The sequence below is a fragment of the Homo sapiens genome, chromosome Y, assembly GCF_000001405.40.
Source record: "Homo sapiens chromosome Y, GRCh38.p14 Primary Assembly".
In the NCBI taxonomy this organism is placed as follows: Eukaryota; Metazoa; Chordata; class Mammalia; order Primates; family Hominidae; genus Homo; species Homo sapiens.
The window spans coordinates 2,611,620-2,623,795 of NC_000024.10; the positions used below are offsets into that span (position 1 = coordinate 2,611,620).

General features: G+C 38.4%; 1 long non-coding RNA gene and 1 pseudogene across 3 annotated transcripts in view; one reads left to right on the forward strand and one right to left on the reverse strand.

Annotated features, from left to right (window-relative positions):
- CD99P1 (CD99 molecule pseudogene 1) overlaps positions 1–12,176 on the forward strand; it is a 47,965-nt pseudogene that overhangs the window by 2,355 nt on the left and 33,434 nt on the right. Inside the window, exons 3-8 of one of the 2 annotated variants that reach the window (NR_033381.1) lie at positions 531–599; positions 4,197–4,350; positions 7,121–7,165; positions 7,810–7,878; positions 11,071–11,115; positions 11,766–11,834. The product of NR_033381.1 is annotated as a CD99 molecule pseudogene 1, transcript variant 2 (transcript). The remainder of the gene's footprint in view (positions 1–530; positions 600–4,196; positions 4,351–7,120; positions 7,166–7,809; positions 7,879–11,070; positions 11,116–11,765; positions 11,835–12,176) is intronic. The other variant, NR_033380.1, reaches the window with a different exon arrangement.
- Positions 1,372–3,728, reverse strand: LINC00102 (long intergenic non-protein coding RNA 102). The gene is made up of 2 exons (NR_037842.1): positions 3,098–3,728; positions 1,372–2,077 (listed from the first exon to the last, which is right to left on the reverse strand). It is a non-coding gene; the product is annotated as a long intergenic non-protein coding RNA 102 (long non-coding RNA).

Here is a 12,176-nt window from a genome sequence, read left to right on the forward strand (position 1 = left end):
CCAGGTCAGGCCTCGTGGGCATAGATCTGCGCAGTCACACAGGGACCTGTGCACACAAGGGTGCCATGCTGCTTTATTGCTGTGTTGCTGCCATCTTCAGATTCTTCATACAGTTGGAACAATGGGTCGCACATTTTCATTTTCACAGGCCCTCCCAAATTCTGGAGGTGGTCTGCACACCTGGTTTAGTTTTCTTTGAAAATACTTGAAGTTAAATCCTGTACCTGGAAGACAACAGAAGGGAATTGGCAGGAGGCTACGTGTATGGGTATCCCCACCATGACAAAAACAAGGGCCAGTTTTTACCTGTTTAGTGAACAGTCTCTGTGCAAATTGATATTTCAGTTTCTTTTCTCATCGCTATGGAAATTGATTTTTCATTTTCTGGTCGCTGTGGAAATTGATTTTTCATTTTCTTTTCTGGTCGCTATCAAAATTGATTTTTCATTTTCTGGTCGCTATGGAAATTGATTTTTCATTTTCTTGACTACTAGGTACTGATGATTGCAACTCTCATGTTTTACAAACAGGTGACCCAGCACCACCTAATGCCCCCAAACCAAAGCCAGATCCAAACCCCAACCGACCTGGTTTCACTGGTAAGAGCCTCTAACCCTACGGGTGGTCTCTATATTGTTTATTGTAACTTTATTTTATACTTATTCATAAGAATATTAATTCACATTTTCTCATGTTTTCTCATTTCTATCATATGACATTTACTGACAAATACTATTCTATCTAAATATATAATAAAATACATTAATTCCTTTAATCCCTAATGTTGAAAACATTGTGTCTTCTGACATTTTAGAATTATGAATTACAAAGCCAATTTGAGTCAACTTTGTCTACTCTTTTTCATTCCTTTGAAGAGATTTCTGGCATTCAAATTGTCTAGATCAATGCTCATGAGTACTTTTATAGCTTTTAACCTGGTTGGTTGTTTGCCCCAGAATTGCACCAATTTGATTTGATACCAGGGTGTCTGCAAATGTCCCTGTCTTCGAACCTTTTCCAGTAGCAATTATCACCTACAAAACCTTTGTCAAATAGTGTAATTATTATATCAAACCGGTCTTAGTTTTACATCTCTCATTCTGAAATGTAAAAAGCATAATGCATCCCAATGGGCCACGGAGACTTCTTCTTTTGTGTATTGGATGCTTTGGCTTTGATCCTTCAATTCATGGTGCCCGCCACCAGGCCCAGCTCATTTTTGTATTGTTAGTAGAGATGGGGTTTCACCATGTTGGCCAGGCTGGTCTGGAACTCCTGACCTCAGATGTTCTGCCTGCCTCAGCCTCCCTACCTACTGATGTATGAGCCTTCTTCAGTGATTTATCAATATTAAAGATTACCAGCCACTTATTATGAAAATGGTTTTGCACTTTATTTTTGCCTTTGAATATTTTTAACAGGAATGTTTTACAAGTGGTATGTTTATTTTTTTATGGTGTCTTATGTTTGTGTGGATATCCTGCTTTTTGTAACTTTTTTTCCTTTTAAATTGAGAATCATTTTGCTATTGTCCCTTCTCTTCAGAGAAGTAAAACCTTCTTTTTAATTTCATTTGAATTGTTTATCACCATAGGTTGATTGAAGGAATGGTAACACGTTTTCAATGTTGAGTTTTTTCTTTTATTTTCTTTCCTTTTTTTATTTTGGAGACAGAGTCTCTCTCTGTCGCCCGGGCTGGAGTGCAGTGGCGTGATCTTGGCTCAGTGCAACCTCCACTTCCTGGGTTCAAGCAATTCTCGTGCCTCAGCCTCCCAATTAGCTAGGATTACAAACATGCACCACCATGCCCGGCAAATTCTTGTATTTTCAGTAGAGACGGGGTTTTGCCATGTTAGCCAGGCTGATCTTGAACCCCTGACCTCAGGTGATCCGCCCATCTCAGCCTCTCAAAGTGCTGGGATTACAGGTGTGAGCCACCATGCCGGCCTGAGCTTTTTCTTTGAGATTCGATTTGTCTCTTCCTCTTGTTGATTCTGTCAATGGGTTTCTAAAGTGTTTTTTCCTTGTTTTTGTTACTCTGAATCCATTTTCATGTCCACTATTTTTCTGTTTATTTCTGTCATGTAGAAGAGATTGTGTATATATTTTTTGCAATCCATGAAATGATGACCCTTTGTTAAATTTCAATTTTTTTTCTCTTCATTTCTGACCTTTTCTAAGAAGTTGGTCATGTTATTTGGTAATGGGTTTTTAAAATTTTCCCTGTTCCTAGATTTATACGTTCTCTTTACAGTTTATTTGTAATTTAGTTCTATGGCCTTTGCTAGAAGACTCAGGACAACTTTTAATATGTAGAGTTGTAAATATGGTAGACAACTTTTTTTCCAGACATTAGGACAAAAACCCAAAGAGATTCACCTTTAAATAAAATAAGTCATTTCAATAAGTGTCTTTCTCTTCTAGTATACTTTTTTTCTGAACACATAGGTTCTCATACCATGAGATTTCTTATTTCTATACAATGTATGTGAAAAATCATGTGCTTTTTATTCATTGCTTGTGTATTTTAATATGGTTTTGAAAAAAAGATTCATTTTGATGTAGCCCCTCATGTTTCTTTCATTTGAGCCTCCCTTATCACTCCCAATATAAAATGTGCCTCGACCTTAATTGGGATTTGAAAAGCTTGGAACTAGAAGGCTGGGCCAGGTAAGGTGGCTCACACCTGTAATCCCAGCACCTTAGGAGGCCAAGGCGGCTGGATCACTTGAGGTCAGGAGTTCAAGACCAGCCTGACCAACATGGAGAAACCCTGCCTCTGCTAAAAATACAAAAATTATCCTGGCATGGTGGTGCATGCCTGTAATCCCAGCTACTCGGGAGGCTGAGGCAGGAGAATGGCTTGAACCCGGGAGGCAGAGGTTGCAGTGAGCCGAGATCACACCACTGCACTCCAGCCAGGCAAAAGGACAAAACTCCATATGAAAAAAAAAAAAAAAAAGAACTAGAAGGCTGGCTTTGAAACTAGCATGAATGTCACATTAGTTTGTGGAGCCCAGCTGGGTGGGTAGAGCCACTTTTCAGACACAGATCAGAATCCGTCAGTCACAGATCAGATCACAGTCACCTGCCCTACCTCTTACGGTCTGCCTTGCTGAAGGTGTTGGGGACCTGGGAGGAGATAATGGGGAATCAACGGGACAGAGTTGTGTGCAGGCAGATTCAGAGTCCCAACTGGGTCCAGGCAGCACAGTTGATTTACAAATGACATTCTTTCTCTCTCCCTCTTTCTCTTGCTGTCATCTCTTACTCTTTTCATCTGGGGGAAGAATGATGTGAAAATGATCAGGAATTTACTTTTTCAAATGAGATCCTAGTCAGTGTGATATTCAGAAAAGTCTTTAGTCATGTGGGTCTCTGGTGATTTCTCCATCTGTTTCCGAGGTCATTCCTTCCTCATTTCTCAGAGCTTTACTATGAACAGACCGATTCCTTCCTTTAGGGGCAGACTTTGACTTAGCAGATGCCTTTGGTGAGGGAGGAAACAGTGAGTAACTCGTTAAAGTCTCCTCTGTTGCTGATTTGTTATTGTCACCAAATGACTGTCATTTCCAAGAGACTTATCTCTTTTGCATAATCCATGGATTGGGTTTATACAGTGGAAATATTGGAAGTATATGCCTTGTTGTGTTTTATTTTTGTTGTTGTTGGATTTTTGTTTTTTTTCCCACCAATATGCTGGCTTTTATTTTAAAATTGTTACAGACTTTGGAATGATATAAGGCAAATGTCACTTCCCTGGCCAGGTCAGACTTCATGGGCATGTGACATGTGATGTCACACAGGGACCTGTGCATACAAGGGCACCATATTGGTGTATTACTCAGTAGCTGCCATCTTGAAATTCGTCATAAAATTGGAACAGAATCTTGCATTTTCATTTTGTGCAGGGCCTCTCAAATTCTGGAGGTGGTCTGGACACCTGGCTTAGTTTTCTTTGAAAATACTTGAAGTTAAATCCTGTAGCTGGAAGATGATGGAAGGGAATTGGCAGGAGGCTATGTGTATGGGCATCCCCACCACGACAAAAACAAGGGTCATTTTTTACCTGTTTAGTGAAAGGTCTCTATGCAAATTGATTTTTCATTTCCTTTTCTGGTCGCCATGGAAATTGATTTTTCATTTTCTTGACTGCAAGGCACTGATGATCGCCAACTCTCATGTTTTACAAACAGGTGACCCAGCACCACCTAATCCCCCCAAACCAAAGCCAGATCCAAATCCCAACTGACCTGGTTTCACTGATAAGAGCCTCTAACCCTACGGGGTGGTCTCTATGTTGTTTACCTGGCAGTGATGTCCGTGTCATCTGAGAAGAGGAGATTTCAGGTGAGCCTGTTCCTACTGTTGAATTACAAGGTAATTCCAGTGTTCAAGTAGTGGAAAACCTAGATTACGAAAATATGTTTTTGGTTTGGATTTTATTTTCCTTTTCTTGATTTTACTTCAAAGATAAATGGAACTTCCAAATCATTGAATAAGAGCTTTTAGATGTAGACTTGATATGAGGAAAAGAATCTGTGTGTTTCCCATGGAGAAGCCAACTTGTTTTAAACAATTAGATTTTTACTGAGTGTTTTTCTTTACATGTTTGTTTAATTTTTAACACAGAAATCTATCCAGATGGTCTAAATCCTGTTGACATTTTTATGGTTTTTTGCTGGTTATGTTATTATTGGCATAAGAATATTCCTTGACCATTTTCTCATGTCATTTAATCGTTTGTATCATACGACTTTACATTATTATACTACAGACTTAATTACATACTTTGGTTTCTTTAAGTAATCCCTAATTCTGAAGTTATGTTTCTTCTGATGTTTTGGAATTATCAATTACAAAGCAAATTTGACTGCCCTTCATGCACTTTCCTTTATGTTTGAAGATATATTTCTAGAGTGCAAGTTGTTTACATCGATGTGTGTGAGTACTTTTGTAGCTTCTGACATGGTTTTGAAATTGCCCCAGAATTGCACCAATTTATTTTGATGGCGGCGGGGTGTGCAGATGACCCTTTCCTCACACCGTCTCCGATATTGGTGTTCACCAAAACATCTTTATCCAGTAGTGCAAAATGTCATGCTAACCTTGTCTTAGTTTCACGTCTTTAATTCTGAAACTTGAAACAAAAACAATGCATCAGTGGGCCATGGAGACTTCTTCTTCTGTGTATGGGATACTGTGTCTTTTATTCTTCTATTCTGGTATGTCCTCCCTGATTTCTAGTCATTTTTGAATTATTTATAGACAGTAAACATTGCCCAATATATTATGAAAATGTGTTTCCACTTTATTGTTGCCTCTGAAAACATTTTGAACAGAAGCTTTTATAAGCAAGGCTTGAATTTTTCTTTTTTATGTTGTCTTAGGTTTGTGTGAGTTTCCACCTTTGTGTAACACATTTTTCCTTTTAACAGAACCATTTTATCACTGTCTCTCTTCCTTCTTGGGAAAAAGAAAACCATCTTTTTCTTTTCATTTGCATTACTTACAACTATGAATTGATTTATAGAGTGCTAAAATATTTGTAAAATCGAGCAGATTCTTCTGTGTGCCTTTTTCTCCTGGTGATTTATTTAAATGGATTTCTAAGGTGTTTTCCCGTCAGTATTGATTTGTTTTGGTGAGTACGATTTTATGTGCGCTATTTGTCTCTCTGTTTCTGAACTATAGCAACATTTTTGTGCATTCTCTCTTACTCTCCACTGAATGATGAACCCTTGTGAACTTCCAATTGTTTTCTCTTCATTTCTTAATGTTTCTGAGAAGACCGACATATTATTTGTAAGTGATTTTAAAATTTGTCTCCTTTTCTATGTTTTTTCGTTGTCTTCAGAGTGTCTTCAGAGTGCATTCGTATTTTTGTTGAATTGGCTTTGCTAGAGAACACATGATGGCTTTAAGTATGAGTGAAGAGAGTAGACATTTTTTATTCCTGATTTCAAGGTAAAAACCTAAAGAGGTTCACCTGTAAATAAAATAAATTGTCTTTACAAAACCAGATACTCATTCCAAGAAGATCTCTCTATTCTAGTATACTTTTTTTTCTAAACATACAATAGTATAGGTTCTCATACTGTGAGACTTCTTATTTCTTTATACACAATATATTTGAAAAGTCATTGGTTTTTTAGTGATTACTAATGTACTGTTACATGGTTTTGAAAAGTGTTGGATTCAAAGTTTCCTTCATTTAAGCCTCTTTTTTCTCCCTTCCCCATATAAAAAGTTGATGATGGCCAGGAATAGAGGTTCACACATATAATCCCAGCACTTTGGGAGGCTGAGATGGGAGCATCTTTTGAGCCCAGGAGTTCAAGACCAGCCTGGGCAACATAGCAAAACCCCCTCTCTACAATGAAATGAAAAATTAGCCAGGCTTGTTGGCACATACCTGCTGTCCCACCTGCTTGGGAGGCTGAGGCAGGAGGATTGCTTGAGGCCAGGAGGCGGAGCCTGCAGTGAGCCGTGGTCACACCACTGCACTCCAGCCTGCGTGACAGAGGAAGACCCTGTCTCAAAACAAAACAAAAATGGTTCCTCGACTTTAGTTAGGATTTGAAAAGCTTAGAACTGGAAGGCAGCCTCTGAAATTATCAAGAATGTCACAGCAGTTTGTGGAACACACCTGGGTGGGTAGACCCACTTTTTAGACACTCTCTAGCCCAAATCTGATCACAGTCATTCTTCCTCACCTCTTAGGGTCTCCCTCACAGAAGGTGTTGGGGGCCTTGGACGAGATGTTGATGGGATGGGAATAAACAGGAGCAAATAATGTGCAGGCGAAGTTGGAGTTCCTGCTCAGTCTGGGAGGAGAATTGATTTATGAATTTCTTTCTTTCTCTCTTTGTATCTATCTCTTCTTTCTCTCTCTCTCTCTCTCTCCCCCCAGCCACCTTCTGATCTCTAATCCATTCATGTGAGAGAAGAGCGATGTGAAAATGGTCAGCAATTTGCTTTTTCTGATGAGATCCTGGTGAGAGTCATGTTCAATAAAGTATTTAGTCACGTGGGGCTCCAGTGATTTCTCTGTTTACAAGCTCATTCCTTCCTCATTTTCTCAGAACTTTGGTGTTAACAGCCTGTTTCCTATTTGTAGGGGCTGACTTTGACTTAGCAGATGCCTTTCGTGATGGAGGAAATAGTGAGTAGCTCTTTAAAGTCTCCTCTCTTGCTAACTTGCTTATTATCGCCCAATTATTATCATTTGCAAGAGACTTACCTCTTGAGAATGATCAATGGAACTTGTTTGCACAGTGGAAACCTAGGGAGTAAGTGTGTTGTTGTCTGTTTTTGATGTTGTTGGACTTTTGTTTGTTTTTTTTTTAACCAGTCCACTTGCTTTTGTTGAGAAACTCCTACAGTCTTTGGAATGATGTAAGGCAAATGTGACTCCCCTGGCCAGGTCAGCCTTCACGGGCATGCAGCTTGTGAAGTCACCCAGGGACCTGTGTTTACAAAAGCGCCATATTGGTTTACTGGTCTGTAGTTACCATGTTGCTCTTCTTCATACAGTTGAGACGAGGGGTCCCACATTTTTGTTTTGCACGGGACCTTGCCAACTCTGTCACTGATCTAGACACCTGCTTTAGTTTAATTTGATATTAAGCAATGTAGCCGGAAGATGATGGAAGAAAGTTGGCAGGAGGCTGTGTGTACGGTTATCCCTGTCATGACAAGCAACAAGCTCCAACTTTTACCTGGTCCGTCAGCCATCTCTATGCAAATTGATGTTTCATTTCTTTACTCCAAGACACTCATGATTGCAACTCTCATTGTCACAAACAGACGACCCAGCACCTCTTAATTCACCCAAGCTGAAGCCAAATGCGAACCCTGAGCAGCCTGGATTCATTGGTAAGTGCTTCTCACTCTATAGGTTGTCTGTATGTTGTCCACGGTAGAGTGGTATCCACATCAGATGGACGACAGGCTTTCAGATGAGCAGGTGCTTGCTATTGACTTTTTGTACAGTTACTCCAGTGGGCAGGGAGTGAAATACAGTTTTCTGAAATAGATATTTGACTTGCGTTCTATTTTTAGTTTGCTGATTTTACTTCCAAGATTGTATGGAACTTCTAAAACACTGAGCACAAGATTTTCTTATGAACTTGGTATAGAGAAAATGGCCTGTGCATTCCCTGTAGAGAAACTTGGGTGTTTTTGATGTTTTTGCCCTTGAATATTTGTATCAGCTATTTTGACACATGACAGCATTCTCAGGTAATCTGACTAGCAACTGTTTTTTGAACTGAATTGTTGTGAAACATTCAGGTTTTTAGTTCTTTTTTGTTTTTAATTTTTAACACAGAAACATAAATAATGTTCATATCCTCTTGGCATTGTGATGGTTATTTGCGCTTATATTTTATATATCAGTTTAAATGAAGCAAACGTTAAGTAATAAAGCCAGTCTTTTGTTCATACTGCATTGTAACATTATTATTATTATTTTTATTATTATTATTATTATTTGAGATGGAGTCTCGCTGTGTTGCCCAGGCAGGAGTGCAGTAGCGTGATCTCGGCTCACGGCAACCTCTGCCTCCTGGGTTCAAGCAATTCTCCTGCCTCAGCTCCTGAGTAGCTGGGATTACAGGCATGCACCACCATGCCCGGCTAATTTTTTTGTGTGTATTTTTAGTAGAGACAGGGTTTCACCATGCTGGTCAAGCTGGTCTCGAACTCCTGACCTTAGGTGATCTGCCCACCTCGGCCTCCCAAAGTGCTGGGATTACAGGCATGAGCCACTGAGCCTGGCCTATTTTATACTTATTAATAGTCACTGAACATTTGCTCATGTCATTTTATCATTTATATCATATGACATTTACTGTCAATTATATTCTATATAAATATATAATACATTAATTTATTTAATCCCTAATGTTTAAAATATTGTGTCTTCTGACTTTTTAGAATTATGAATTACAAAGCAAATTTGAGTCAACTTCATCTACTTTTTTTTTTTTTATTATTCCTTTGAAGAGATTTCTGGCATTCAAATTGTCTAGATGAATGTATATGAGTCCTTTTATAGTATTTGACCTGGTTCGTCATTTGCCCCAGAATCGTCCCAGTTTATTTTGATGATGGTGTGTGCAGATGTCTGTCTTCACACCATCTCTATACTGGTTATCACCTGCAAAACCTTTGTCACATAGTGTAAGGATTATATCAAACTTGTCTTAGTTTCGCATCTCTAATTCTGAAATTTAAAAAAAAATAGTGCATTCCAGTTGGCCATGGTTACTTCTTTTGTGTATTGGATGTTATCCCCTTTATTCTTAAATTCTCATATGTACCTACTGATTTATAAGTCTTCTTCAGTTATTTATGGATATTAAAGATTATCAGCCACTTACTATGAAAATGTTTTTGCTATTTATTTTTGCCTTTTAATATTTTTAACAGGAATGTTTCATAAGCAAGACCTATTTTTTTATGGTGTCTTATGTTTGTGTTGGTTTTCTGGTTTTGTGACTTTTATTTTAATGGAGAATAATTTTGCCATTGTGTCTCCTGCTTGGGAGAAGTAAAACTGTCTTTTTAATTTCATTTGAATTGTCTTCAAACATAAGTTGATCAAAGAAGTTGTGAAACATTTTCAAAGTTGAGCTTTTTCCTTGAGATTTGATGCATCTGTTTCTCCTGATGATTTTTGTCAATGGATTTCTCAATTGTTTTTTGTTTTTGTTTTTGTTTTTTGTTTCTCTGAATCTATTTCTAAGTCCACTATTTTTCTGTTTATACTATAATATACAAAGGATTTTGTGTATTTTTCTTTACGATCCACAAATTGTTTGCAAATTATTTTTTTTTAATTTCCCCTTTTCTATATTTGTACATTTTGTTTACAGTTTATTTGTAATTTGGTTGTACTGTCTTTGCTAGATAAACCCAGGACAGCTTTTCATATGTAGAATTGTAAATACAGTAAACAGCTTTTATTTCAGGCTTTAGGGCAAAAACCCAGAGAGATTCACCTTTAAATAAAGTAAATCACTTCAAAAAGCCTCTTTCTACTCCAGTATACTTTTTTTTCCCTAAACGTATAATAGTATAGTTTCTCATACCATGAAATTTCTTATTTATATATAATATATTTGACTAATTATTTGATTTTTATTGATTACTCATGTACTCTTACATAGTTTTGTAAAAATGTTGGATTTGATGTAGCCCCTCATGTTTCTTTTATTTAAGTCTCCTTGTTATCCCCTTTCAATATAAAAATTTCCCCAACCTGGCCAGGCACAGTGGCTCACGCCTGTAATCCCAGCACTTTGGGAGGCCGAGGTGGGTGGATCACAAGGTCAGGAGTTCGAGATCAGCTTGGCCAATATGGTGAAACCCCATTTCTACTAAAAATACAAAAATTAGCTGGTTGTGGTGGCGGGCACCTGTAGCCCCAGCTACTCGGGAGGCTGAGGCAGGAGAATTGCTTGAACCTGGGAGGAGGAGGTTGTTGTAGTGAGCCGAGATTGTGCCACTGCACTCCAGCCTGGGGAACAGAGCAAGACACCGTCTCAAAAAAAAAAAAAAAGTTTTTCCCAACTTTAGTTGGGATTTGAAAAGCTTAAAACTAGAAGGCAAACTCTGAAACCATGGTGAGTTTTCACGTCAGTTTGTCCAGCATAAATGGGTTGGCAGAGTCACTATTTAGACACCCTCTAACCCCTCTTAGGGCCTCCCTGGTGGAAGGTGTTGGTTACCTGGGGGGAGATGATATTTGGACAGGAAATCAACAGGAGAGAACCATGTGCAGGTTAGAGTTGGAATTCCAACTCTGTCCAGGCAGCACAATTGATTTATAAATTATTTTATTTCTCTCTCTCTGGCTCTCATCTTTTGTTCTTTTCATCAGAAGGGAGAGTGATGTGAAAATGATCAGGAATTCACTTTTTCTATTGAGATTCTGGTTAGAGGGATATCCAGAAAAGTATTTAGGAACGTGGGGTTATGGTGTTTTCTGCATCTGTTTACGAGACCATTTCTTCCTCATTTCTCTCAGAACTTTGGTGTTAACAGCCTGTTTCCCTCCTTTAGGGGATGACTTTGACTTAGCAGATGCCTTACATGACAAAGGAAACTGTGAGTAACTCCTTAAACTCTCCACTGTGGCTGACTTGCTTATTATCACCAAATTATTATTGTTTCCAAAAAACGTATCTCTTGTGAATGATAAATGAAACCTGTTTGCACAGTGGAAAGTTAGGGAGTAGGTGTGTTGTTGTTTGTTTTGGATATTGTTGGACTTTGTTTTTGTTTTTACCAGTATGCATAGTTTTATTTTAAAACTCTCACAGTCTTTGGAATGATGTAAGGCAAATCTGACTCCCCTGGCCAAGTTAGGCTTCATGAGTGTGTGACTTGTTCGATCACCCAGGGACCCATGCTTACAAGGGTGCCATATTGGTTTATGAGTCTTTAGTTGTCATCTTGAAATTCTTAATATTCAGTTGAGCAAGGATTTCTGCATTTTCATTTTACACAGTACCTTGCCAATTCTGTAGCTGATCTGAAAAGCTGCCTGATAGGTTTTATTGAAAATGCTTTATCAGTACTGTAGCTGGAAGATGTTGGAAGGATATTGGCAGGAGGCTGTGTGTATGGGTATCCCCACCATGACAAAGAACAAGGTCCAATTTTTATATGTTTAGTGAACGTCTGCATGCAAATTGATGTTTCATTTTCTTCACTTCAAGGCACTCATAATCTCAACTCTCATCTTTTACAAACAGACGAGCCAGCACCACTGAACCCACCCAAACCAAAGCCAAATCCAAACCCCAAGCAGCCTGATTCCACCGGTAAGAGCCTCTAACCCTATGGGTCATCTGTATGTTGTTTACAGGACAGTGATATCCATGTCAGCTGGGAGATTTCACATGAAACCTGTGCTCACTCTTCACTCCTTGTACAAGGAAATTCCAAAACCTAGTTTTCAACTATATAATTTTGATTTGGATTATATTTTTAGCGTCCTGATTTTACTTCTAAGATTTTAAGATTTAAGTCATAAATCTTAAATAGAATCTTAAATTCTGAGATTTTTTGGATTCCACCTCTAAAAAGTTGAATACGAGGTTTTAAATACAGACATGATATGAAGGAAGGGATAGTTGCATTCCCAGTGGAGAGGTGAGTGCTTT